This window comes from Homo sapiens, chromosome 19 (assembly GCF_000001405.40).
Source record: "Homo sapiens chromosome 19, GRCh38.p14 Primary Assembly".
In the NCBI taxonomy this organism is placed as follows: domain Eukaryota; kingdom Metazoa; phylum Chordata; class Mammalia; order Primates; family Hominidae; genus Homo; species Homo sapiens.
The window spans coordinates 47,475,150-47,502,269 of NC_000019.10; the positions used below are offsets into that span (position 1 = coordinate 47,475,150).

Below are 27,120 nucleotides of genomic sequence, written 5' to 3' on the forward strand. Positions count from 1 at the left end.
TGATGTTCTTCTGGACGTATAAATAACCATCAGGTGGCCAATTCTCATCCAGAGTGGACAGGGTGGAATGGGATCATCCCTGCTTTCAAATAGGGACATTGACGTACAGAGAGAGGAGTGGGTTAGCTGGGGCCCCAGGGCACAGCTTCACCACCCTGGGGAGGTCTGGGGAGAGCATCCTGTCCTTCAGGACACCCCCCACCAGCGGCTGGAGGTGAGCACGCCATGAGTCGCCCCAGGTCTGGGAAGAGTGGGTGCATGGGTGCTTAAGAGGCTGCATTCTCAGCAGGCCCTGCACCTGCCCCGTCCTCCAACCCCTGTAGCCGACGTCTCCTCTGCTCCACTTGATGTCGAAGCCGGGTCAAGACCAGCTCTGAGGCCTGAATCAGGCTGTGCTGTGGGGAACAAGAGAATGAGGGGGATGGAGCTGAGGAAGAGCTGTGGGACCACAGCGGGACCGTCTGGAGTGAAGCAACTCCAAAGGCCAGGAGCTCGGCCCACGTGGGAGGGCAGAGAGCAGACCACAGTGTGTGGGATGGGAATGGGCCTCTGTGACAGGGGTGAAGGGGAGTGGCCTTAAGCGAATTTCTAGTGGGAGGGACAAAGCCTAGACCCAAATGTAAGGAAGTGAGATTAGAAGGAATATAAAAGGAATATAAAATTTAGCCAAGCTTGGTGGCAGGTGCCTGTCATCCCAGCTACTAGGGAGGCTGAGGCAGGACAATCACTTGAACCTGGAAGGTGGAGGTTGCAGTGAACTGAGATCACACCACTGCACACCAGCCTGGGAAACTGCACTCCAGCCTGGGAAACAGAGCAAGACTCTGTCTCGAAAACAAACAAACAAACAAAAAAACCAAAAAAAAAAAAAAAAAGGCCAGGGTGTGGTGGCTCACACCTGTAATCCTAGCACTTTGGGAGGCCGAGGTGGGCGGATGACTTGAGGCCAGAAGTTTGAGACTAACCTGGGCAACATGGTGAAACTCCGTCTCTACTAAAAATACAAAAATTAGCTGGGCGTGGTGGCGTGCGGCTGTATTTCCCAGCTGCTTGAGAGGCTGAGGCATGAGAATTGTTTGAACCTGGGAGGTGGAGGTTGCAGTGAGCTGAGATCGAGTCACTGCGCTAGAGCCTGGGTGACAGAGCAAGACTCTGTCTCAAAAATAAAATAATAAATAAATAAATAAATCTCCTTCACCAGGCCGGTGCCCCCACCCCAGCTGCTGTGAGCGCTCACAGCTGCCCCTTTCTCCTGGGAGTTGTCCTGACTGGTAGGAACTGCCTCCCTGAAATGAGTTCCTCCCTCCCCCAGGAGGAGGCCTGCACCCCCTGCTCGAAACTGCTGAGGTCGACTCCCCTCCCACCCCAAGAGCTGGGGATACCTGCAGGATGTGCACGCCCTTCAGGGAGACCACGGCAAGCTCCTGCAGCCCATCCCCGGTCAGGTCCACGTGAGCCATGGCCAGCAGGGGACTGGAGAAGCTCCGCTGCCACAGCAGATGGAACCCGTGCTGGGCCTCAGGAAGCCCCGACTCTGGGCCCCGGTACTTATAACACAGCAGTTCCTGCGGGGGTGAAGAATCAGGTCACACAGGTTGATGGGGGGACAGTGGAGGGAGGCCGGTGGGTGTGGCTCCAACTGTCAGGTCCCACCTGTCCATAGGTGGCCACCAGGACTTCTGGCCGCCCATCCAAATCCACATCGGTGACCAGGCTGCAGAGGACGCTGTCAAACTGGTCACTGCCGGGCAGGAGAAGCTGGTCTTCAAGACCCCGGTTCAGCAGGTCCCTGAGGGTCCCAAATACAGCATATAGACTGGGGTCAGCTTGCAGTGCCCAGCACCCTTGGCGGATGCTAAGCTGGGTACCGGTACTGCTTCCCTTCTCAGGCCTAGACACACTGGTCCTCCGGAAGCCTAGACATCATCATCTCAGATTTGGACATATTCATAGACCCAGCAAGGGGTCAACCTGTGCACTCAAGCCCTTCATCTCGGAGACCATCTCACTCCCAAATGGAAAGCCACAGTGTCCCATCTGAGGATTCAGATGCATGTGTCCTCAATTTAGACACCCACGCTGCCTTCGTGGAGCCCGAAGAGGGCTTGGCCCTGGCCTGGACACCTTCACCACCCCTAGAGGGGTGCCAGAGCTGGCTATAGTTGCTTCCGAGAGCTGACTGGGAAATGTTCCCATGTAATCATGTTCATGGTTTGAAAGCCACCATGGTGGGAGTATTTACACTTTGGAAACTCTGGTAAATGCTACAAACCTGGGCTTTCCTCGTGCATAGCCAGTGATTAACCATTTTCCAGCATACCTACTACATCTACTCCAGGGGGCACAGGCATCTCTGCTCCCACCCCCCAGCCTCAACATATTCCCTACAAGTCTAGACTTCAATATTCACAGCCCCCACCCCTGGGTCACGAGTATCTGTACTTGTCCAGCTCTGGGTAATCCACCCAGAGGAACTTACTGTAGAGAATGACAAGGTTAGACCACAGTGCAAAGAAAGAAGGTTAGACCACACCCATGTGTCTCAGGCCCCCTCACCGATACACCACTGCTGGCTCCAACATGCTGGCCACGAGCACGCTGTACTCATCTTGTAGTGGCCTGTCCTTGGTCTCTGGAGAAGAAACATGAATGGTAATCCCAGCACTTTGGGAGGCCAAGGCGGGTGGATCAGCTGAGGTCAGGAGTTCGAGACCAGCCTGGTCAACATGATAAAACCCCGCCTCTACTAAAAACACAAAAATTAGCCGGGCATGGTGGCGGGCACCTGTAATGCCAGCTACTCAGGAGGCTGAGGCAGGAGACTTGCTTGAACCTGGGAGGCGGAGGTTGGAGTGAGCCAAGATCACACCACTGCACTCCAGCCTGGGTGACAGAGCGAGACTCCGTCTCAGAAAAAGAAAAAAAAAAAAAGAAACATGAATGAATAGGGGAAAGGTTTTGTGGGGACAGGTTCCAGGCTCCTCGTCATACCCCAGGCCCCTTTAATGAGAGACATGCAGGTTAGATCTCAGGAAAAAGTCTTGAGGCTGTGCTACACAGGGAGGGTTAGAGATTGGCCCATGAGACAAATTATAAGTCAGACACCAGAAGGAGAAATAGGTGTTAGATGATGGCTTAAAAAGTCTGAGGTTCTGGGTGTGGTGGCTCATGTAATCCCAGCACTTTTGGAGGCCGAGGCAGGCGGATCACCTGAGGTCAAGAGTTCGAGACTAGCCTGGCCAACATGGTGAAACCCTGTGTCTACTAAAAACACAAAAATTAGCCTGGCATGATGGCATACACTTGTAATCCCAGCTACTCAGGAGGCTGAGGCAGGAGAATTGCTTGAACCTGGGAGGTGGAGGTGATAGTGAGCCGAGATTGTGCCACTGCAACCAGCCTGACCAAGACTCTGTCTAAAAAAAAAAAAAAAAAAAAAGACATTTGTGCATGTATGTTTACAACAGCCCAATTCACAACTGCAAAGATGTGGAACTAACCTAAGTGGCCATTGACTAATGAGTGGAGAAAGAAAATGTGGTATATATACACCATGGAGTACTACTCAAGTCATAAAAATGTTGTCTTTTGCAGCAACTTAGATGGAACTGGAGACCATTATTCTAAGTGCAGTAACATAGGAGTGGAAAACCAAAAAATGTATGTTCTCACAGAAGAGGGGGCCAACCTATGAGTATGCAAAGGCATACAGAGTGTATAATGGTGTTTGGAGATTCAGAAGCAGGAAGGTGGGAGGCGGTGTGGGATAGAAGCTACACATTAGGTACAACGGACACTAGCTGGGTGATGGGTGTGCTAAGATCTCAGAATCCATCACTATAGAATTCATCCATGCAACCAAAACCACTTGTGTCCCCGAAGTGATTGAAATAATTTTTTTTTTCTTTTTTGAGATGGAGCCTGGCTCCGCCACCCAGGCTGGAGTGCAGTGGTGAGATCTCAGCTCACTGCCACTTCCACATCCTGGGTTCAATCGATTCTCCTGCCTCAGCCTTCCGAGTAGCTGGGATTACAGGTGCCCGCCACCACGCTCCACTAATTTTTGTATTTTTAGTAGAGACAGGGTTTCACCGTGTTGGTCAGGCTGGTCTTGAACTCCCGACCTCAGGTGATCCGTCCGCTTCGGCCTCCCAAAGTGCTGGGATTACCGCGCCTAGTCAAAACTTTTTTAAAAAAGCAAAATGCCAGTCAGGGACAGACCCCAGTAAAGGAGCAGGAATGATCAACATATTGGGGGAAAAGGCTAGACTCTGAGTGGTGGGACAGCGGTGAGTCCAGGAGCATAGCCGGGAGCTAGAATGCAACAAGAGACACAGTGAAGGGGCCACAGAGCGGGGTGAGGAAATACCGATGTGAGACGTGCAGGTTAGAGTACAGAGGGAGAGGTGGATGCTCAGCCCCAGGGTACGGGGCTAAGGTTACACCAAAGTGAGGAGAACAACTATGGACCCTAACAGAAAAGATATGGGTTAGGCCCCATGTGCCAGTCCTGGAAGTTAAATTCACAAGAGGGGAGGGGAGGGAAGAGGTGCACTGTAGCTCAAGGCCTGGAGTGGGGGATCCAGGAGAGAGGGACTGGGGTCTGCACACTTTGGGAGAGGGGTGCAAATCTGGGTAGAAGGACCCAAGAATGCAGAGTTGCCTCTTCCCTCCCACCCGCTCTCTCCCCATCCCCTCAAACCCAGAGCTCACCCTTGGCGGCCGAGAGGCTGAACACAATCACTCGGGAGATGGGACCGTCCTGCAGGACCGACCACATCTGCAGAACCTCTGCGTGGAGAGCGAGGATTCAGAGCCCCAACCCCACCCCGGTCCCGCCCGCAGCCCTGAAACCATCGACTTTCCGCCCCCACCGTTCATCCCCACCCTAGCCCCGCCCCTCTGAAGCCCTCAACCCCACCCTAGCCCCGCCCCCAATCCCCACCCTCATCCCTTCCCCCACTTCCCCTACCTCACCCAGCAATAGCCCTCGGCCCCACCCTAGCCCCACCCGGCAAGCCCCACCCTCATCCCTCAACCCACTTATCCTCCTCCCCTACCCCACCCAGCTCCAGCCCTCAGCCCCACCCTGGCCCCGCCCTCTAGCCCTCAACCCCACCCCTTACCCCGCCTCACCGCGGCCCTCACCTCGACTCCGCTGGTCCACGTGGGCGACACGGACATAACCACTCTGACAGCCCAGAGCTGAGAGGCGCCGGGACGTGCCGGGGAAGTTGTGGACGTCCAGCCAGAGGACGCTGGCGGGCGGGTGGATGGACAGGACGGACGGCCATTGCTGGGCCCAGCCCCGCCCCTCTGCCTCCCCAGGGGCAGCCGCCCCTCCCTGTAGCCCTGGGACCCTGCTGCTTGATTCCTCCTGGATAATCCCCACCGCCCAATTCCTCTGAGGTCAATTCTCACCACCCGAGGGCTGAGTCCACCTCTTGTTTTTTCTGGGGTCACCCCTGCTGATCAATTTCTCTGAAGTCATGCCGTGGACTGATTTTTCTGAGCTCCTCCCCGGTGACCAATTTCTCTAAGGTCTCACCGCCCGATTTCTCTGATGTCAGTGCCCCGGTCCCCAGTGGCCTCTTTCGGGGCCTCTCCTACCTACTGGTCAGGTTCGTCAGCTCTGGGAAGAGGTTTTCCACGGGCTGTTCCTCAAACTGATGCAGCCCCTCGTTCTGGGGAAACCAAGACCCACCCCACCCCCGCTTAAGTCAGCCGTCAGCTTCACACATATACCCACCCAGCGCCAGCCCACAGTGAATCCCACAGGGCTCTGCCCAGCACGCCGCCCCACCTCACCTCCTTGTAGAGATGAATGGCCGGGTCGTTCCCACTCAAGAGAAACACAGTCTCAAGTTGATCCCCGACCTGGACCCTGAAAGCAGAGAAATCTAGAACCCAAGGTAGTGGAATCCACATGGTCTGAGAACCAGAACTCTCCTCTTGCAAAAACCCCTGCCTGTTGAGAACCTTAACATTCTGGGATCCAGACACTAGACCCAGGGTTAGAATCTCAGGGCTCAAGCTCCTGAGTACTGTATCTCCTTGAAATACATAACTGTAGAAACGAGCCCTCATAGAATCTCAAAATCAAGGAATGTACCTCCCAATCTCAGAATTGCGGGAACATGGCTTGCTAGAACCTCCCGCTCTTAGAGCCCGCATCTACTCCTACCTTCACTCTGTGGATTCAGGAATCGAATGTGGAACTCTAGAATGAACTGCAGAACCTTAGAAAGCTAGGACCTCTTCATTCTGAAACCCTGGTATTCTAGAAGTGCTGTTTTCTGTCTCCTTAAAAATACAAGAACTTCTAGAATTTGCCATCATAGATTTCAGATTCACGGAATGATAGAATATCCAAATCCTAGCAAGGAGAACATTAGTGCAATTAGAATCTTCAGTTTTGGGGACTCTCACCTGTTAGACCAGAGGTTGGCCAAGTTATGACCTGCAGACCAAATCCAACCCACCATCTGTTTTTGTAAATAAAGTTTTATTGGAACATAGCCACATCCATTCATTTATAGTGTCAATGGCTGCTTTCTGGCTACAATGGCAAAGTGAGTAGTTGTGACAGACTGGCCCTCAAAGCCTAATATTTACTATCTGGATCTCTACCAAAAAAAGTTTGCCAATCCCTGTTCTAGACCATCTGTGTTCTGGAATGGAATCTGGAACTCTAGAATGGAACCCACACACTTTGGGGTTCTAGCACCTTGGTATTCTAGATGCTCTATGTTCTATCTCCTCGAAAGATGAGAATGTCAGGACTTTATCATTACAGAACCTCAGAAGATTCTGGCTTCTATCGTACTGTAGAATATTCAAATGTTGGAATCTTAGAGCCTACGACTCTAGAAAACTTAGCATCTCTGATCTTGGAATGTCAGACTCTAGAACATTAGAATCTGGGAATTCTAGATGTGCAGAATTCCCAGAATTCACAGGTGCTCCATCAACTCTCTCAGATTATCTAGTTCAGGAATGGCAGTGTGGTGGCCCCTTGGCCATCCGGTCCATGGCCACCTTAAAAGCATGATGCTCCGGCCAGGCGTGGTGGCTCACGCCTGTAATCCCAGCACTTTGGGAGGCCAAGGCGGGCGGATCACCTGAGGTCAGGAGTTCGAGACTAGCCTGGCCAACATGGCAAAAACCTATCTATACTAAAAATACAAAAATTAGCCGGGCATGGTGGTGTGAGCCTGTAATCCTAGCTACTCAGGAGGCTGAGGCAGTAGAATCACTTGAACCAGGGAGGTAGAGGTTGCAGAGATCGAGCCACTGCACTCCAGCCTGGCAACAGAGCGAGCATCTATCTCAAAAAAAAAAAAAAAGAAAGAAAAAAAAAGTGCAATGCTTTAAAAAACAAATGTAGAATCTGATTGTCTATGGACAAGTTCGTGGTCTCCAGTTAGCTACAGCTTTCCAACCTCAGCTGCATATGTGTGTGTGCACATGTGCTCCCTGTTATATTACATTTGTGCTTTCCATTCTCACATGACCTCTCTGGTCCCCAAAGGCATTTTAGTTTAATTTCATTTTATTTTATTTATTTATTTTTGAGACAGAGTTTCGCTCTTGTCACCCAGGTTGGAGTGCTGTGGTGCAATCTTGGCTCACTGCAACCTCCGCCTCCCGGGTTCAAGTGATTCTCCTGCCTCAGCCTCCTGAGTAGGCTGGGATTACAGGCACACACCACCATGCCCAGCTAATTTTTGTATTTTTAGTAGAGACGGGGTTTCGCCATGTTGGCCAGGCTGGTCTCAAACTCCTGACCTCAGGTGATCCGTCTGCCTCAGCCTCTCAAAGTGCTGGGATTACAGGTGTGAGCCACCGTGCCCGGCTGGCATTTTAGTTTTCAATCCCTAATCTAGTACAACCTCTTTATTTTCCAGAAGGGGAAACAGACTACAGGGGTCTGTAAGTAAAGAAGGGGTTCGAGAAGCCAGGGTTTCTACATTTACAGTGGAGTGGGCGTCGATGCGCAGGGGACACTCACTCCGCATGGCACAGCTGGAACGGAGTGAACTGGAGCTCCAGGTTCAGGCAGCTCTCTGTAGGCAGGGCACAGGCAGGTTAGCATGGGGGACCTGCTGGGGACTCTCTCCCTCCTCCCGTCCACGCCTCACTCACGGGCAATAGAGTCAAGGTTGTACTCAGAGCCGGGCTCGTAGTCGCAGTAAATGTTCAGGAAGGGGCTGCCCTTGTCCCCTGAATCCTGGCGGAGGACACGGGGTTCAGGGGAGGGCAGGGGTGGCAGGAGGGATCCGGGGCGGCTCAGTGGAACTCACCATGTGTGTAAGGAGGAGGGCGAAGGGAGGTGGAGGGGGCTCTAGGTACCTTGATGAACGTGATCCCCACAACCAGACCCCGCTTGGGGGGTGACTTGTTGAAAGTGTCGATGGAGACAATCTCCGCATCCACTGGGAGGGGAGAGTTCTAAGTTCAGTGTCAGGCAGACTCATGCTTCCAATCTCCCCAACATGGTGAGCTCTGGCTACCGCAATGATCATGCCCTCTGGTCTGAGTCCTGACCACCATCACCTGATCTCTGTTCCCTGGGTACTAGGGATCCTGACCTGTAAGTCTGAAGAATCCTGAAACCCTAGGCTCATCCGGGCCCCAACTATGCCTGCCCGCTGATCCCAGTGACCCCCTTAAAACCACCTGATCCCATTCTTCCAGCACGGTGACCCGGCTCAGACAGAGCCTCAGAAGCCTTCTCAACACCACGTTCCAGGCCCCCGCCCCCCAGCACCATAGCGCCACCCACCGGGAATGTAGTTGAACTGCAGCTCCTTGGCCACTGGCCGGATTTTCTGTCGGAGGTCTTGGTAGCGGAAGCCGAGCACCTTGCCTTTAAGGGTGGCGGCCAGCAGCTCCCCGCGCCCGCCGGCGCCGCCTGCCAGCCCGTACACATTGCTCTGCGACGAGAAGCGCGTGAAGCTGTCCTCGCGCAACGGACAAGGCCCCGCGGCCACGGCCGCCTCCCCCATCATGCCCCTCAGTTAAGCACCCTCTCCGCAGCCCCCGCCCCAACCCGCACTACCCAACCTACGACTCTCTAAGCGACCTGAACCGCCGGGTGCCCGGCCGTTGCGCGGGCTGATGACGTACGGAAGCTGCCGGCGTTGCCCTCTCCCAAGATGGCGGCCAGGTCGCCTGCTCGGGCCTCCCAGGCGACTTTGCCCCACTGCGCCCGCGCTCTCTTCTCCTTTCCATTTCTGGACCAAGGGGCTGCCATAAGGAGTCTGTGACTAGAGATGGGAGGTGGTGGCCACGGCCTCTCGCTGTATGCTGTGTGGAAGGTCGAATCATCATCATCATAAAACTTAATATTGCCCTTATGTGCCAGGAACTACTGTAAGTGCATTCCATCTAATACTTTATTAAAAATTCGCAAGGGGGTGGAGGTAGGTACTTAAATCCATTTTAGAGATGAAGGAATTGAGGCACAGAGGGGTAAAGTAACTTGCCTAAGATCACACAGCTAGTAACGAGCGGTCAGTACTGGAAACCAAACAAGGTAACTCCACAGTTCACTATTTTTTTTTTTTTTTTTTTTGAGACGGAGTCTTGCTCTGTCACCCTGGAGTGCAGTGGTGCGATCTCGGCTCACTGCAACCTCTGCCTCCTGGGTTCAAGCGATTCTCCTGCCTCAGCCTCCCAGCAGCTGGGATTACAGGCGCCACCACACCTGGCTAGTTTTTCTATTTTTAGTAGAGATGGGGTTTCGCCATGTTGCCCAGGCTGGTCTGGACCTCCTGACCTCAGGTGATCCGCCCACCTCGGCCTCCCAAAGTGCTAGGATTATAGGCGTGAGCCCCCTTGCCCGGCCTATAGTTCATAATCTTAACAGTATCACCTTTAAAATAATTAATACATTCTTCTTGCCCCCAAGGAAAAATGATCCAGCTATAATAACCACCTCCTTTATCGAACACCTACTTGGTGACAGTCATGCTGGCTCTGATAATCTGATTCCTTACAACTGTTCTGCAAGGGCCTACTGTTACCCTCCCTGCCGGTTCACTTATTCAGGATTCATTGAGCTTTTACTATGTGCCCGGACGTCCTTTGCAAATCTGTCTCACTAATCTTTGCAAGAAAGAAACCTCTACAAAGAGGTTTATTATCCCAGTTTAGAGAGAATCAAATGGAGGCTCAGAAAGAGTAAGTCCACTGACTGATATGCTAGCAAGTGGTGGGGACAGGATGTAAACCAGGTGTTTCCGACTCTGGGGCCTTCAGGGGTTCCTGTCTGTGCTGCTTTGTCCCTAGAAGGCCATGGAGGTTTGGGTACTATGTGCACATCTGTGTATCATTTCCAGAAGACATGGGTTGGCCAGCTGTCCTGGACACCTCGAGCACACACAGACTGCAAGCTCCATGAAGGCAGCAGGCTGATCTCCCTTGATCACGGCCTTATCGCCTGTACCTGGAACACAAGGCCTGACACAAAGCAGGCATTCAGAAAATATGTGTCAAAAATCACAAACTATGTGCTGAGCATGTAAGAGACAGCTCTTACATGATGGAAAGTTCTCAAAGGCAGACTGGATAACGGAGGTGGCAAGGAATTTGTGATGATTCCAGATTTCTGGATGTGGAGAGTAGAAGTTCCTGGAGGGCAGTCTGGGAATGCCGTCAGTGCTGCTGTATTCCCAGGGCCTGGCATGCAGCAGGTGCTTAGTGAATATTCGCTGAGGGAGTGGCACGTGGGTCTAGTGCCACTTCAGCAGTGCGTTTCCTTCAGGCGTCTTCCCGCCCTAGTAACCTATAAGCCACATGTTGAGCGGATGAATGAAAAAATGAAGTTACAGGTTAGGAAGGAATCATCCTGTTAAGAGGTTTCCAATCCTAGCTGCACACTTGAACTGCCTATGAAGTTTTAACAAAACAAACCAAAACAGGCCGGGCCTGGTGGCTCATGCCTGTAATTCCAGAACTTTGGAAGCTGAGGCAGGCGGATCAACTGAGGTCAGGAGTTTGAGACCAGCCTGGCCAACATGGTGAAACGCTGTCTCTGCTAAAAATACAAAAATTAGCTGGGCGTGGTGGCGCACGCTTGTAATCCCAGCTACTCGGGAGACTGAGGCAGGAGAATCGCTTGAACCCGGGAGGCAGAGGTTGCAGTGAACCAAGATCGCACCACTGCACTCCAGCCTGGGCGATAGAGCGAGACTCTGTCTCAAAAAAAAAACAAACCCAAAAACCCCCAAAGGGTAGGAAACCTCAGTCAAACCACAATTTATCAGAGTGCGGCCCCAGTCTGGATACTTTTATTTTTGCACCATCATGCCTAATTTTTGTATTTCTAGCAGAGACAGGGTTTTGCCATGTTGGCTAGGCTGCTCTCGAACTCTTGACCTCAAGTGATCCGCCTGCCTCGGCCTCCCAAAGTGCTACGATTACAGGCATGAGCCACAGCACCCAGCCCCAAGTCTGGATACTTTTAATGACTTTAAAGCATAGCCAGGGCGGACCATCACTGATTTAGGTCATGGATGACAGAAACAGATTCTCACACTATCCTTCAGCCAGCACCCATGATGGGGGCAGACATGGTAATCAATTTCAGGTCTCAGAAGTCTTTGCTGCCATTATCAGTGGACTGGAGCTGTGGGAGAAGCTGCAGGGGAGAGAGGAGCAGGGCAGGTGTCAAGGAATTTGAACCTCACCTGCACTTCTCTAGGCTTTCTGGGCTGGAGCCCCTCTCCCAGGAGTCCACCCTGGTTTCCTAGGCAGCCCCTCCTCTGTGCAATTACTGCCCCTGCTCACTTCCTGACATTTTCCCATCATGCCTGGGCACTGAGCCTCCTTCAGCTGTCTCCTCTGTAGCGAGGGGCCCTGCGCGGGGCAGGGTAAAGCACATGTGTACCAGACAGGGCCCCCAACATGCACATTGTGGAGTGTGGTGGAGGCAGCTGGTTTCTGCCCACCTTTCCTGGGCAAAGGCTCCTGCTATCTCCTCCCCCACTCCCCAGACCCACTCGGGCCTCAGACTCTGCCCACCAAAGCCGCTTCCTCCCCCGTCCTGTGACAGATGGAACAACTGTCACCGGGGCGTTCAGCCTTCCTGCCAGAGAAATGTGGACATGGGAGATTCGGTGGGCTTCCACCCATTCTCATCCAAAGCAGTCATGAGGACCGTCACATTCGACCCTCCCACTGGCTCTGAGGGGTGGCATCACCACCGTGCATCCCAGTTGAGGAAATCAAGGCCCCTGGACCCCAAGAACCCAGAGAAAGATCAAGATGGGCGCTCTGGGACTCCCAAGCCAGAGCTCCTCCCCAGGCCCACCGTCCCTGGGTCTCCCCCACCTAGAAACTGACCCAGCCCACACGTGTTTCAAGGATGCATGCGCCTGACCTCCCAAGAGCTCGCCCAGAGTCTGGGGGACCAGGAGTGTGAGAGGGACTGGTGACTGGCCCAGGGGCAGAGTGGGTAGCAGAGGTGAGGAGGAAGAGAGACTCATGCAAAAGTGTTGTTTTTTATTTTCTTTCTTGGGCCAGCTGCAGCTTCCAACCAAGAAAACCTCAAAGCATTAGGGAAGGAGCAGGTGTGGGGCTGGGGTGGGGAGAATCCCCTAAGCTCCAGGGCCCAGGGTCTAACCTGAGAGGTCGGGGCTGCAGGAAGCTGGGGGAGGCTCCCGGGGCTGGGGGAAGAGGAGCCTGCCCCCAGCAGAAACAGCAGGTCTCAGCGGCTACATGTGCTTTAGAGCTTGGCTGGGGGACAAAAGTGGGAGAGAGAGAGAAACCGGCCTCATGACTCAGCTGGTCAGGAGATAGGGGGCCAGATGCTGACCCCAAATCCCCGGCAGCACCCCTAGCAAATAGGTCTGTATCAAAGATTCTGTACAGCTGGTTTTGGGGGTGAAGGGCACCTATGGGGGCTTAAATAAATGGACAGGGGGCAAGGGATGTAGCGAGAACAGAGGGTGACTGTCCGGCCAGCAGCCTGGGCCTCTGGCGCCCCTGCATGCTGACCCCCGGTGCCACCTGCCCACTGTGGCCCGCGGCACTCCCCAGATGGGAAAGGAGGGAAGCTCTCCAGCAAGTCTCGGCCCCACCTCTCTCTGAGCAGATGGGACAGGAAGACGGGCACTGGGGGGCTGGGTGGGGCTTAGCGCAGGTCCTCCTCATCGCCCTGGATGGTCTTCTTGATGCGCAGCAGCATGGTGGTGAGCCACTGGTCCAGCCGGGAGATGGAGTCGTATTCCTTCACCTGAGGGCACACCAGGTGATAGGCTGGCCATGCTCCCCCCGTTCCCAACCCTGCAGCCCAAGGGCACTTGTCCCAAGGTTTTCAAGATCTGTCTCTGTCACCCCTGGTCTCTGAGGAGGAGTAGAGGGAGGGCTTGAGGCCCCAACTCAGCCATGGGAGCTCCCTCTTGTCTGTCTTGACTATGCTGGGCACATCATTTCCCTTGGGGGAGAAAGATATTGTAGCTTTAAAAAAAAAAAAAGGTCCATGGCTGGGCGCAGTAGCTCACGCCTGTAATACCAGCACTTTGGGAGGCTGAGGCGGGCGGATCACGAGGTCAGGAGATTGAGACCATCCTGGCTAACAGTGAAACCCCGTCTCTACTAAAAATACAAAAAATTAGCCAGGCGTGGTGGTGGGCGCCTGTAGTCCCAGCTACTCGGGAGGCTGAGGCAGGAGAATGGCGTGAACCCGGGAGGCGGGGCTTGCAGTGAGCCGAGATCACGCCACTGCACTCCAGCCTGGGCGACAGAGCGAGACTCCGTCTCAAAAAAAAAAAAAAAAGTCCAGCATCCTCACTGAATGGGTGGGAAACTGAGGCCTGGAGATATGGAAAAGGCCACTCCTGAGTGCCATGGGACACGGGGGAGAGAAGCCACGGCCTGCTGGGCATCCCCTCCCTGAGCTCCTGGCTGAGTTGCCACCCACTGTCTGGGGCAGGAGGAACAGGATGGCATTTTCACTGTCCTCAGTTAGGGGCTTCCATTCCCAAGGGGCACCTAGGGAGAAATGCTTGACATGTGCCATTAGAGGAGTGAATCAGGACCTGAGCCGGACACCACTAAGCCCGGGAATGCTGGGAACAGAGAAAGGGAAGGGAGAGAGAGCCGCGTGGGCGGCTCCACCAGGCAGAGGGAAGCTGGCACCTCTCCCATGTCCTCAGCTCCACTCTCCTTCTCACCCCTTCCCTCCCCGTCTGTGCCTCCTGGGTGCCCAAGGCGCCCACTGTGAGTCTCACACACTCACCTGGGGGACTCAAGGAACCCTGGTCTTCAGAGGCAGACAGATGTGGCTCTGAACACCAGCTCTGTCCCTGAGGGGCCAAGGCCGAGCCTCCTGACCTCCCCAACCTCAGTGCCACCATCTATAAAATGGGGAGAACACTCCCTGCGCCTCTTGGCGCTACTTGTAAGGTTTCTGGGGTGACTGGAGAAAGAACTTCACAGTGGGCTGGGGGCCAGATGAAATGGGTGAATGTCATGGAGAGCGTGTCTGAGAAGGGCAGCTTTCCTAGGAGACCCATCCCCGTGAAGGGGCCTGGCCCCCCATGCTGGCCACTCACCGACTCGGTGTAGCTGTCCACATTCTGCTCCTCGTGGGCCTCTAGCAATTTCTGCAAGCAAATGGCAGAGAGGGGTCAGGGGCCTATGCTGACCTGAGGTCTGGCCTGGATTAGATGAAAGGACACGCTATCTGTATGCCAGGCCTGGGGCTGGGGCTTCCTGAGGACTCTCAGAGGGTCAATCCGTGTGGGTTAAACTGGGGATGGGTACGGGCGTGTTGCGATCCTGCTGCCCTATTCATCAGAAACGGCTTGCTCTCAGGGCAACCTTACCAACATAGAACATCACACAGAATGTGTGTGTGTGTGGGTATGGGGGGTGTGTGTGTTGGGTGTGGTGTGTGGTGGAGGTGTGTGTGTGTGTGGTGTGTGTGTTGGGGTGTGGTGTGTAGGGGCACGTGTGGTGTTTGGTGTGTGTTGAGTTGCGTGTGTGGTGTGTTCGGTGTGTGTGTGGGGTGTGTGTGGTGTGTGTAGTGTGTGTGCAATGTGTGTGTGTGGGGTGTGTCATGTGTGGTGTGTGTGCAGTGTGTTTTGTGTGTGGGGGGGTGTGTCGTGTGGTGTGTGTACTGTGCAATGTGTTTTGTGTGAGGGGTGTGTCGTGTGTGTGTAGTGTGTGTGCGATATGTGTGGTGTGTGATGTGTTTGCTGTGTGTGGTGTGTGTGTAGTGTGTGTGGGGTGTGTGGGGTGGTGTGTGTGTAGCGTGTGGTGTGATGTGTGTGGTGTGGTGTGATGTGTGTGGTGTGGTGTGTGTAGTGTATGTTTGGTGTGTGTGGTGTGGTGTGATGTGTGTGGTGTGGTGTGTGTAGTGTATGTTTGGTGTGTGTGGTGTGGTGTGGTGTGTGTAGTGTGTGTGTGTGTGTCCACCTAGCCATCCTGAGCTCCAGCACTCCCCGAGTTGTACTTTCTTCATCTGGAAAATGGAGACTCAAATGGCCAAACAAAACAAAACAAAACAAAACAAAACAAAGACACCCTCTGAGAACTACTGGACAAGTCTTGGCGATTGTCCCACCTGGAGCCCCAGCCACCCCCGTCTGAGGTTCGGGAAGGGGGAGGCCGGAGCACCCAGCACTTACTTTCATCAACTTGCATTCCCGGGAATCAGAGAAAGCTGGGAACAGCTCCTCATACTTTTGGACAGCCAGCTGGGCAGCAGGGAAGGGAGAAGATGAGTTAGTAACAAGAGGGTCCTCAGAGCTACTGGCCTAGCAGCTGAGGGGACTTGGGGATGTCGGGTGATATTGAGTCAGCTCTTGCACCCCTCCCCCAGCCTCAGGTGTCACCTGGCTCTGTGTCTGTCAGTACCTTCCCGTAGCTGAGCTCAGCACCAGCCTGGCTGCAGAGATGGCTGCAGGGAGAGGTGGGTGGAGGGGGAAGGTTCCCCAGATAGGCACCCACTGCCTCCTCCCACCTGGCTCAGCTGGGGCAGGGGACAAATGAGCACATCCTCCATGCCAGGCCTGGGGCTGGTGCTTCTTGAGGACCCTGAGAGGGTCAAATGACGGTGAGCCCCCTTTTCAAAGTGAGGAAACAGATCCAGAGAGGGGCAGTGACCTGCCCAGGGCACGGTGAGACATGGGGTGGGAATGGGAACCTGGTCTGACAAAGCCCAAGCTTTTGCCCACCACCGGTGCCCACAGCAGGGCAGGGCTCTGTGGGGTGTGTGTGTGTGGGGTGTGTGGGGCCACCACCCCAGGCCGTGAGCCAGGGACACCAGGAAATCCTGGACTCCGTGCTTCTGCCAGGCAATGGTAAAAAAACTCCGGCCAAGCAAAATCTAGCGCCAACCCTCCAGCTCCTTCCCGCTGGCCACGCCCCCTCCCACTGCCCTCTTTGGCCCCTCTTTTGCCAAGTGTCCTGAAAATAGGTGGGCATGTGTGAGCTACAGCTAAAGCCACGACAGCAGGAGTCACAAAGATCTGGAACACTGGGGCTGCAGGTCCCTAGTCATGTGGCCTCAAACAAGGGACTCTCGTCCCAGCCTCACCATCTTCACCCATAAGACGCGGTGACAATGGTGCTGACTTTAATGGGGTGCAGTGAGGATTCAAAAAGTGCACCCATGAAGGAAAGAGCACTAAGTGAGGCAGGAGCTGGACCCGCAAAAGCCTCCAGGGCTGGGTGGGCAGGTGATGCCAGCACAGAAACACAGCTGTGAGAACCACACTTCTCATCCAAAGGCTGGCTGGCAGGGGCCAGACGTGAGGGAGGAGCACGTCCCTCTTCGGGGGCAACGGGACCTGGCCTGGAGATAAGCACATGGTGGCCTGGTGCGGTGGTCCTGCGGGCGTGGGGTGTGCTACCTTGGCGTTGAGCATGTCGATGCAGAAGTGGCAGAGGGCCGCCTTGAAGAAGTAGTCTTTGGCGCTGTACTTGAGGAGGGGGCTGTCCATGGCATTGGTCCCCACCTGTAGCCATGGAGAAGTGGCACTGGTGAGCTCAGGGCAAGCAGCCAGAGGGCCAGAGCCACTGCCAGGCACTGGGGGGCCAGCTGGGAGCTGGTTCATGTCCCGAGGTGAGGCCCTGTTAACCCAGGACCCCAAGGGCAGGGAGCCAGGGACCAGCTTGGAGAGGTCAGCGGCCAGTGCGTGAGCGACCAAGATCAGGGTGTGATGGTGGCTGGGTGGGGGTGGAGGCTGTAGCCAGGTGTTCGTGGGCCTTCTGAGAGCCTGAGACAGTGGGAAGGAGGCAGCCTGGCTGTCAGGACCAACGGGAGGCTGGCATGGCGGTGGGCAGAGCGGCGGCAGGCGGTGGGAACATGAGAGGCGGCGCCCGCCCCTCTCTCCCAGGGGGCCAGCTGCCTGCCTTTTTCTCGGCCATCACCCAGGGCTCCGTGCACGCTGGGGGGACCCCATGTGACACTCCCTCCCTCCCACTGTGGATGAGGACCATCGGGCCATGGGGTGGGGTGCCCACGGCCACCCTGGGCCTCTTGGCACTTCTTCCCATTCCCTCCCTCTGGGTTCTTTAGCCAGCCTCACTCTGGGCCCCTCCAGGAAGCTCTGCGAGGGGTGTGGGAGGGGCACAGCCAGGGAGAGAGACGGTGCTGGCACGGCATGGAGTCGTAGGTGGAGAACATTCAGCCAGGCTGAAGACAGGGTGGGGGGATGACATGGCAAGGGATGTCGGGGGAGAGGCAGAGGGTGAGCCGGGGGAGGGGTGGTTCCAGAACAAGGTGCCGGGGCTTAGGAGGAGGCACAGGCCCTGAGAGGGGGCAGGGTGGAAGCCGCCATCCCCACCTGTCCCCACCTGTTCGTAGATGTCAATGGCCTTCTGATACTGCTCCAGCAGCGCAGCGTAACCAGCCACCTTCAGCAGACACTTGTTGGCTGAGCTGTGTGGGGAGGAGTAGTGAGGGGAAGTGGTGGCGGTCCCTGCGGGGCTGGGGCAGGCAGGAAGGGGGCTACCTGTTGGACTCCTCGCCTTTGTAGTAGTCTGCAGACTGCTCGTAGTGGGCAATGGCCTGGGGAGACACGGGGGATGGGTTCCAGGGGAGGGCAGGGAAGGGAGAGGAGGCCTCCGTGAAGCTTCCACACCCTCCGCCCTGCCTGCCTGGGACACAGCCAGACCCCATTCTCCAAGCTCTGCCGGCGCCCCATGCCCCCTTCTCGGCACTCAGACACCAGAGGACTCCCCTGGTGGGAAGAAGAGAGAGCAGCACTGGTCCTGGCTGCCAGCCCATGCAGGGCCCTGCTGCCACTCACCTTCTCGATGTCCACCAACTCTGTCTCATAGATCTCAGCAATGGAGATGTGGTGCTTGGCCGCAATCGTGAATCGGCCCTGGAGGGGACACAGGAAGGGGCTGCCTGCGACTCATGACCTCCTGCGTGCCTGCCTGCTGACCTATGACCCTTCAAGTTCCCACCCCTCAGCCACGCCTGTGAGGAGGTATGAAGAAGACCTGAGGTGTGAAGAAGATCGAGAGGTGGGGGAACACAGGAGTGAGAAGGGAGGGCCCCAGCACTAGAGGCCTGGCTATGCGTGCTGGGCTGAGCGGGTGATGTTGGACAAGCCACTCCAGGGCCTTAGCCTAATTCCATCCCATCCACGAGGGCACAGATGGTGTGACACCAGAGAGAATGTGAGCACGAGCACTTGGCCAAGGCCCTGGCCCTTAGGAAGCCTCTGATAACAGCCAGAGAGGCGGAAGGACCAGTCCAGAGCCACTTGGCAAAGGGCTCTGGAGAAACCAGGATGGGAGGGAGGGCTTGAGACCTCTGCCCAAGAGTACCAGCTCTGCCCCCAGGCCAACACCTATCTGTCAGCCTCCCCCAGGCACACCCAGAGCTCCCCAGGGAGGCCTCAGGTTCCAAGGGGCCTCGCACCTTCCATCCGCCTCCACCCAGTGTCCAGGCGCTTGCCTAACTGCTCTGCACCAGGGGCTGGTCCAACGCCACCCCCTTGCTGAGGGCAGTAGGAAAGGGCAAGGCCCTGGGCTCAGCCAGACCTTGTTTCGGGTCTCAGTGACTCCTGCTTGTAGCCACATGTCCCTGGGCAAATCATGTCACTTGTCTGAGCCCCTCTCCTCCACTAAGGAACGGGGATGACAATAATGCCAACCTCACAGGGCTGTGGATTAAACCACCCTGCAGTGTCTGGCCTAATAAATGGCAGCTGCTATTATTGTTCTAATCACAGTCATCCCTGCAGCACTGCCCTGAACGCAAGGGGTAGGGCTCGTGTCCCTGCCTGGGGTTGGAGGGCTGAGACAGACAGGGCAAGCGGAGAGGCAAAAAGGAGCTGGCCAGGCACGGTGGCTCATGCCTGCAATCCCAGCACTTTGGGAGGCCAAGGCAGGTGGATCACTTGAGGTCAGGAGTCTGAGACCAGCCTGGCCAACATGGTGAAACCACATCTCTACTGAAAATACAAAAATTAGCCAGGCATGGTAGCACACGCCTGTAATCCCAGCTACTCGAGAGGCTAGGGCACGAGAATCGCTTGAACCTGGGAGGCAGAGGTTGCAGTGAGTGGAGATCACGCCACTGAACTCCAGCCTAGATGAGAGAGAAACTCTGTCTCAAAAAAAAAAAAAAAAAAAAAAAGAGAGAGAGAGAAAGCACTGACAGGAGCCCCGGCCTGGGTGGGACCCTTCACTCTGGCTCCAGTTGGCAGCTGCCCATCTGGTCTGCATCTGTCGTTGGCAACGCGCCCTGGGGGCAGGGCAGGTGCTGAGCCTCCTGTGGGCTCTGCCTATCCCTGTGGCCTGCTGCAAGATGCTTATCAAATGTGACACTTGCGGGAAGGCTGGGCAAGGGGAAGTGCCGGACACACACTCTCCAGTAACCTAATTTCTTTTTTTGTTTTGAGACAGGGTCTTGTTTTGTCGCCTACGCTGGAGTGCAGTGGTGTGATCACAGCTCACTGCAGCCTCAACTTCCTGGACTCAAGCGATTTTCCTGCCTCAACCTCCCAAGAACTAGGACCCCAGGTGCATGCCACTACACCAGGCTAATTTGTTGTAGAGAGGAGGTCTTGCTATGTTGCCCAGGCTGGTCTCGAACTCCTGTGCCCAAAAGATCCTCCCACCTCAGCCTCCCAACATGCCAGGATTACAGGCATGAGCCACCCTGCCCAGCTCAATAACCTAAGTTCTATGAATGAAAACCATGACTGCCTGTGGAGTGAGGGGGCCGTCAGGCTGGTGGGGAGCTGGGTGAAGACCCAGCCAGCCCAGGCCAGCTCAGGTGACCTAATCCCCCCAGCTCCCACTTCCCCCTCCCCAAGTGGTTTGGCCGCAGAATAAGAACAGTGCTGGGGGTGCTGAAAGAGGGGACGCAAGGCTGGGGCAATGCAGTGGGACCCGGGGGTGTCAGGACAAGCAAGCAGCCCTTACCATGTCTGTGTAGATCTCGATTGCTCGCATCAAACAGTTAATGGCCTCTGGAGAGAAAGGGAGGTGGGAGGAGACATGAGAAAGTGAAGTCGTTTCAGCAGAAGCTGAGGAGAGGAGGCGGACGCAGGCGCACCTGGCTGCCAGCAGAGAGATCAATAGGCGCTCAGAGCTGCCAGCGCTGCCACACACTCTCAAGGGGCTGGGAAGAAGGGGACGGAATCCCTGAGCCCCAGGAAATCTGGTGAGAGGGCTGACTCTGCAGACTGTGACTTGCTGGGCACATGCTTCTGGGGGAGCCCTTCTCTCCTCGGGCTGCCAGGATGCTACCAGCTTCCCACAACCCCAGGGACAGGGCACAGCAGTGCTAGGCCAGGATGATGGCCAGACTCCCACGGTGTTTTAAGACAGACCTGCCAAGGCCCTGCTCTTGAAGGACTGAGCTGCTGGCAAAGGGGAAGGAGGCATGGGAGGCGGCCAAACCAGCATCTGAGGTGGTCTTGGAGGCAACAGGGTGCCAGGTTCTACCTGGGCTCTGCCACCATCTCTGCAGGATCCTGAGCAGCTTCTGCTCCTGCACCAGGAGGACCTGGACCTCTGGCACGAGGAGGCTGGATGTCATCAACACTGAGCCCTCAGTGTGCTCTCCACTGCCCCCTCTTCCTCGTAGCTCAGCAGTCGGGAGCCCTCTGCTCAGTCCCTTTAACCTAGTCCTGCCACCCACCAGCTCCTCAAAGGTTTTGCCAAAAAACCTGAACACACCAGGATGGCACTGAGGAAGAACTGGGCTACCTTTGTTGTACTATCTCTTGCAAGATTTTAAATTTGGGAAAGGCTTTTTTTTGACAAGTTATTTGGAGGAGAGAGAAAAGCATGAGTGGGAGGCATTTTCTAGCAGACAGAAATGAGCTCTCAGGGGGTATTTTTTAAGAACACCATTTTAGCACATCTCAGGAGGACAGGGGTGTTGTGGGGAGGGAGGCCTGGGTTGGGGAGAGGGAAAGGCAGGGAGCTTGGACAGGCCACAGGGCATGGGCTCTGAGCTTCAGCCTGGGCATCTGAAAGTTCCTGGTCACCGTGGGGGTCTCCATGGTCACCCAGGCCATGTTCGCCTGAGAAGAGGGTGCTACCAAGAAGCGCCGGGGCTGGGCTCCTCTCAAGGGGCTCACGGTCTGGATGGGACTCCAAACTCCCTCCGTGGGGAGGCATCTGGACAGAGGCTCTTTGTCTCAGGTCTGTGGCTGGGCTTTCAGGGAGTCCAACCCCTCCTTCTGACATGTAAACAGTGGGGTCCATAAGCACTCCTCTGGGGAGTGGGGTCTGTAGGTTTTGTCCAATTCAGAAAGACCTCTGGGGATCTAAAAGGGACTGAGAGAAGGTACAGCACTCAGTCCAGGTTCTAGGGCTGACAGACCGAGACTGTGGCAGCAGACAGTGGAAACGGTGGCAAAAAGGGGGCAGATGAGGAGGAAGGGGAGAGAACACAACCTAAATCCGGCAGTTTGAAGACACATACATCCTGTAATCGGCGGACCCAGAAGCAACGGCTAAGCCGGGCCACGCTGCAGAGGAGAGCAGCAGCTGGAGTGAGGTGAGAGGCCCGCCTTGCCCCGCCCCACCTGGCTGCAGTCTCCACATGGAGGCCCCGGGCTGCTCACTGGTTCACTCTCCTGGCCGGAACACCCAGGACACCAACCTGGCACCCTGTGGGCTGAGGCGGCAAAGGCTGCTGCTCCGCAGTGAGCAGTGAGATCTGCAGCTGCCACCTGGGCCTGCTGGCACTGGCTCTGGAGCACCCGCCGTCAGCATGGCACAGTCCTTGCAGTAGCAGCAGGGAGACAGCTTACCCCCCAGGCAGCAACATGGACTCACGGGGTTAAGTCCCCTCCATGTCTGGAAAGCGGCGGGCCACCAGCAGACACCTGGGACAGCTGGCTCCTGGACGAGCTTCTGACACACTCATGACTGCTACTCTTATCTCAGGTCACCAGGCCTTGTGCACTCGGACAGGCAGAGCAACACCCAGTTCTGTGGCCTGGCCCCTCCTGTACCCACCCACAGAGGGCTGGAAAGGGGCTCAGAGCAATACAGCCCAAGTTGGGGAGCTATGGCCCAGGCCACCGCCCATCCCCGCAGTCACTCCTACCAGCGACGCCCAACCTGACTTCTGCGTCTCTGAAGCCCTTCCTGGTTACACTTGGTCATCTCCTCCTTAGTAAAATGGGGGCAAATCACAGAATGCACAAAGAAATCAAATGGGTTAAAAGATGCCAAGCATCTGGTACACAGTAGAAACCCAGTAAATGGCAGCTGGGGAGGAAGTGGGGGACAAGCAGGGGCCAGGTCGCTTCTCTGCCCCAGGTACACACACTGCCCCCACCCCCAACTATCAGGCAGGCCTGGGAAGAGGCCTCGCTGGCCCGAGTCTGCCCTGAGCAGCAGCCATGGTTGGGTAACTGAGGAACCAATAACACATATGAGCATCACCCTTCCCCACCCAGAGCCACCAAGGTGGCAGCAGGCCACCCTCTGCGAGAGGGAGAGGAATTCGGGAGCCCAGTCGGGCCTCAGGCACACTCCAGCTGCCACTTGGGGGCAGGTCCTTCTGGAGGGAGTCCTGGAGGAAGCCCTAGAAGTGCTGACCCAAGACAGAGGCCTTCTAGGCTGCTGAGGAGACCAGTGATGAGGACGGCCCCAGGGTACCGGCCACCTGCTTGGGGAAGCCAGGCAAGGTTCCAAATCGGGCCTCCAGCGCTGTCTCACAAGGCACCCGGCCAAGGGCAGAGGCTGTGGGGAGCCCAGGGCAGGCAGGGGCCCCTGGACTGATGAAAGCCAAGGGTGTCCTGACTGGAAGTTTATCACACACCAGGTGCCGCGCTGGGCATGACTGCATCATCTCACAGCAGTCTCTGCTTTAACAGACGAGGAAACAGAGGCCCAAAAGACTGACTTGCCCAGGATCACAGGGGAGGCAGGGTCCTCCCAGACCACCCACCACCTGCGCTGCTGAGCCACACACAGTTGCTACATGACATTCTCTGTGAGGCTTTTTTTTGGGGACAGGATCTCACTATGTTGTCCAGACTGGTCTTGAACTCCTGGGCTTGAGCGATCCTCCTGCCTCAGCCTCCCAAAGCACTGAAATTACAGGCATGAGCCACTGCACCTGGCCTTGTGTGAGGCCTGACTAGCCTCAGACACAAAGCAGCCACTGCCCTTGATGCCAATGTGCCCCTTGCCCCACTGGGAGTCATGGCTGGCGTGCGTATCTTTAGGCTGTAGCTCTGGAAGCTGCACTAACACCCTTCCCTGCTCAACACCACGTCCCCAGGGCTCTGGACACGGCACCTGCTCTCAGCTCTACCCAGGTGAGGCTCTCCTTTCAGAACTGCCCCCTTTCTTCCTTGAAAGATCTCCCATAGCCAAATTCACGCCCCCAGCCTCAGCTCTGTGCAAGTTGGCCTCTGTGCCCTGGATGTAACATCATCTTTATACTTTCCTACCGGTCGGAGTCCTCAGCCACCTTCTGAGCTTCCTAAGGCCAGGGAGGGGCCACATCCAGACTCCAGGCCCACACCCTGCAGAGTCTCGCTGGAGAGCTAGAAAAGCTCAGATCAAACGCAGGGGAGGGACCCCACCATATCCCACTGCCAGGCAGGGCCTGTCTGCAGGAAGTGAGGGGTCTGCTGAAAGAGCAAATGGCACTCTCTGTTCGGCAGCCTGGCGCTCAGTGTTGCCCCAGAGTGTCCTTCCAGTCACTCCAGATGGGGCAGCAGCTGAACGTCACAGATGCTAAGACAGCACCTCTAGGCCAACCAGTTTCCCAGGGAGCAGAAGGAAAGGCTTGGCGGGGCAGTTTAATGGAAGGCATGGAGACTCCATGTGGTGAATCAAGCTTAAAACCAACCCAGGGTCTCCCTGGGTCATCACTGCATCAACCACGCAGCCTGCTGTGGCCCAGTGCTACCAGCCAGGCAAGCCCCATGGCCCACCCAGTTACAAGGCTGCTCCTCGGCCTCTTGCCAGGCCTGAGCCCCACCATGTGACCACTGAGGCCAACGCATGAGATGCCCAGCTGCTGAGGAGCAACTGGTCAGTCTAAGGACAGAGAAGAGCTACTGGTCAACACAAATTCATCCTCATCTGGGAACTAACACGTCAGATCACGACAAAGGGGTATGCCAGCAGTTCTCAAACACGCCATGTGAACCAGTGCTCACTGATCCATGGAGGAAGCTCCCTGCACTGCTGCAAACCTGTCTTCTCTTGGGAAGGACAGGCTTTTATTCCAAGATTATATAGCTGCTTTTTATTTTTTAAAGATTCATATATTTTCCATTCCCCTGAGATGACAGTGACAATAGATGGTCATTTTTAAAAACTGCCTGTGCTTTCTAATTAGCAACCTGTACCTGGCACCAACATTTTAAAAAATAAATTAAAATTCCCGCCACATGCAAGCAAACACTGGGCTGGACCTCCTCTTCGGGAGGCACCCAGGGGGACAAAACTGTTTTCTCACCATGAGTCAGCCCCAAACTGGGTTTCTGTCCCTAGCACGCTCTCATTTTAAGTAATTTGTTCTCTGGCAACTACATCTCGGGCTCTGTTCTCTCTAATTCCTCCCCAGGATGTAGGGAAGCCAGGTTGGGCTAATTTCCGCTCCTTTTTCGGCAGCAACTCCTACCTGGCTGGTCTCAGAATCCTCCCCGCCCCCCACACCGCTCCCTTCTGCATGTTAATTCTGACAACAGAACAGATTTTCCTCTCTCCCCGGCAGGCGGTGGGTCTGCAATGGAACTCCCACTCCCAAATGCTCCGGGATTGGGAAGGGGTGATCAGCTGCACCGACACCACCGACACGGTAGATAGGGGGGCGGAGACTTGAGCAGGGCGCGAATGCCAACTGGAAGGAAGAGAGCCAGTTCTAAAGTCAACGCTCACTCTGCCTCAGGCACGCCCCTGCCAGCCTATCACATGTCGGCCACTGGAAAAACCAGAGCCGCCAGGAAACCTGAGGAATCAATGCAGGGTGCTAGGATGGCGCTCCGGACAGCCAGCCCGTGTGGCCCGCAGAGGCCCTCACCTTGGGGGTCGGCTTTCTTGAATGCGTTGCCAGCGTCCACAAAGCAGGTGGCTGCGTCGTGCTTGCTCTGGAGCTGCAGGTGCAGCTGTGCAGCCTGGCAGAACGCGTTTCCAGCAGCTGGAACAGAAGAGAAGGGCAGTCCTGGCCTCAGTGGGGCTCCACACTTTATGAAGCCACAGAGACACTGCCCTGGGAGGTGGGTCGGGCTCTCGAGAATGCGGAAAGAGTCCCCAAGACAGGACGAGGGTGACCTGAGCGAGCCCAGACCGAGGCCTAGAACTCAGGTCTCCTGGCTCCTGCGCTCAGGTCTGCTGGCTCCTGCGCTGAGGCTCCTGGTGGCCCACCTGACAGTCTCTGAGGGCGGCAGGAAGCTGCCTCGGGGGAAGGCCCTGAGCCCCAGGTATATGGAAAGAGAGCCAGGGTAAGCCCAGGTAAAACACCATGTCCCTAATCCCAGCTATGCCAGCATTTCCAGGGCCACCACTTCTAAAGATCCAAGGAGAAGGCAGATAGAGCTGAGTTGGAAAGGATATAAAACAGAGTGAGGTGGCCTCCTGCACCTCCCGGCCTGGGCAGTCCTCCCCAGGGGAGCCTCGAAGCACAGGGCCCAGAACCACCACTAGAAGGCAAAGTACAGGCTGAAATCATGGGGTGGCTTCGGAGGGGTATTTTGGGAAGCAAGGGGCAACTGAGATTAAACCACATAACATCTTCCCATCTACTCCCCTTTCCAAGTCCTGTTTCTTTTTCCACAGCTCCCCAAAGCTCTTCCTGATTCTCCCAACTCCTCTGCCTCTGTTCACATTCTGTTCCCTTCACTGCAGATCCCCATGGACAAGGCACTTGCATGAATTGTGAGGCTCATGGAGTTGGGGTCGGACAACACAGAGCCGGCTCCCTCCAGGAGCTGCATGTCCAGAGAGGGAAACAGGATGTGGACAGCAAGAATGAATACATGCAGACCAGTGCCCATGGGCGGAGGGCAGAAGAGACCGTGCCTGAAGCCTCATCCATCCTGTGCTCATCTGCACACGGTCAGCTTCTGTGGGTCCCAAGCCATTCTGCCCACACATCTCCTAACTGACGTTTGGGAGGCAGCAGCATCTCTCCTCCTCCTCGTGCAGCTGACCACCTCCAGCTCAGCTCTGAGGCTTCTCCCCTTCATTCTCCTCCAGCTGAATCTGAGTCAGAGTTTCTAAGCTGGAAGAGGACCAGGAGGCCTGGCCCTATCCTCTTAAGTTTTGAGCAGCAGAAAAGACAAAGCCTTCCGGGTTTTCACTATATGATTTCATTATTTTCAAGAGTTCCAAATTTGAGTATAAAATTACGGCCAGGCGCGGTGGCTCATGCCTGTAATCCCAGCACTTTGGGAGGCCGAGGTGGGCGGATCACGAGATCAGGAGATGGAGACCATCCTGGACAACATGGTAAAACTCTGTCTCTACTAAAAATACAAAAATAAGCTGGGCGTAGTGGCACGTGCCTGTAATCCCAGCTAGTCAAGAGGCTGAGGCAGGAGAATCACTTGAACCAGGGAGGCGGAGGTTGCAGTGAGCCAAGATCGCGCCACTGCACTCCAGCCTGGCAACAGAGCAAGACTGTCTCAAAAAAAAAAAAAAAAAAAAAAAAAAAAAAAT

At 55.6% G+C, this 27,120-nt stretch overlaps 2 protein-coding genes and 1 long non-coding RNA gene across 12 annotated transcripts in view, besides 3 other annotated features; 1 reads left to right on the forward strand and 2 right to left on the reverse strand.

Moving 5' to 3' along the window:
* KPTN (kaptin, actin binding protein) lies at positions 1–10,690 on the reverse strand. Of its 6 annotated transcripts, XM_017026227.2 has the most exons (15): positions 10,544–10,690; positions 9,130–9,309; positions 8,786–8,936; positions 8,353–8,435; positions 8,146–8,230; positions 8,012–8,066; positions 5,809–5,884; positions 5,611–5,684; positions 5,149–5,258; positions 4,714–4,791; positions 2,557–2,632; positions 1,654–1,789; positions 1,383–1,565; positions 966–1,082; positions 1–395 (listed from the first exon to the last, which is right to left on the reverse strand). In XM_017026227.2, exons 1-15 carry the CDS (start codon positions 10,688–10,690, stop codon positions 267–269), a joined length of 1,680 nt encoding a protein of 559 aa, XP_016881716.1. In that variant the 3' UTR covers positions 1–266. The 6 variants fall into 6 exon arrangements, 5 of the variants coding, with proteins under 5 accessions (XP_016881716.1, XP_016881717.1, XP_024307101.1 ...); XM_017026228.2 differs by lacking the exon at positions 966–1,082; NR_111923.2 differs by lacking the exons at positions 966–1,082; positions 9,130–9,309; positions 10,544–10,690 and adding an exon at positions 6,430–6,485 and having other exon boundaries at positions 5,615–5,684; positions 7,977–8,066; positions 8,786–9,070.
* Positions 8,995–9,284: an enhancer, noted in NCBI's record as "active region_14865". NCBI's record gives its function as "activates an Ori minimal core promoter by ATAC-STARR-seq in GM12878 lymphoblastoid cells {active_cell/tissue: GM12878}" and the evidence as "EXISTENCE:reporter gene assay evidence [ECO:0000049][PMID:35858748]".
* Positions 9,133–26,448, forward strand: NAPA-AS1 (NAPA antisense RNA 1). The gene is made up of 4 exons (NR_038452.1): positions 9,133–9,375; positions 18,298–18,452; positions 19,879–19,995; positions 26,308–26,448. It is a non-coding gene; the product is annotated as an NAPA antisense RNA 1 (long non-coding RNA).
* Positions 9,315–9,444: an enhancer, noted in NCBI's record as "active region_14866". NCBI's record gives its function as "activates an Ori minimal core promoter by ATAC-STARR-seq in GM12878 lymphoblastoid cells {active_cell/tissue: GM12878}" and the evidence as "EXISTENCE:reporter gene assay evidence [ECO:0000049][PMID:35858748]".
* The window catches only part of NAPA (NSF attachment protein alpha), a 30,534-nt gene continuing 12,794 nt past the window's right edge, over positions 9,381–27,120 (reverse strand). For 2 of the 5 annotated variants that reach the window (NM_003827.4, XM_011527436.2), the window contains exons 3-11: positions 25,484–25,600; positions 20,401–20,447; positions 18,267–18,344; positions 17,970–18,025; positions 17,812–17,896; positions 16,866–16,970; positions 15,639–15,707; positions 14,562–14,612; positions 12,488–13,240 (exon numbers count right to left, since the gene is read on the reverse strand). In NM_003827.4, coding sequence (NP_003818.2) covers positions 13,139–13,240; positions 14,562–14,612; positions 15,639–15,707; positions 16,866–16,970; positions 17,812–17,896; positions 17,970–18,025; positions 18,267–18,344; positions 20,401–20,447; positions 25,484–25,600 — 710 coding nt within the window. In that variant the 3' untranslated portion in view covers positions 12,488–13,138. Of the gene's footprint in view, positions 10,790–11,540; positions 11,645–12,487; positions 13,241–14,561; positions 14,613–15,638; positions 15,708–16,865; positions 16,971–17,811; positions 17,897–17,969; positions 18,026–18,266; positions 18,345–20,400; positions 20,448–25,483; positions 25,601–27,120 lie in introns of those variants that run through there. The other 3 variants (XR_007067028.1, NR_038456.2, NR_038457.2) reach the window with 3 other exon arrangements.
* Positions 25,527–26,081: an enhancer, noted in NCBI's record as "H3K4me1 hESC enhancer chr19:48003933-48004487 (GRCh37/hg19 assembly coordinates)". NCBI's record gives its function as "activates a minimal SCP1, AML or CMV promoter by ChIP-STARR-seq in primed H9 embryonic stem cells {active_cell/tissue: H9 hESC(primed)}" and the evidence as "EXISTENCE:reporter gene assay evidence [ECO:0000049][PMID:30033119]".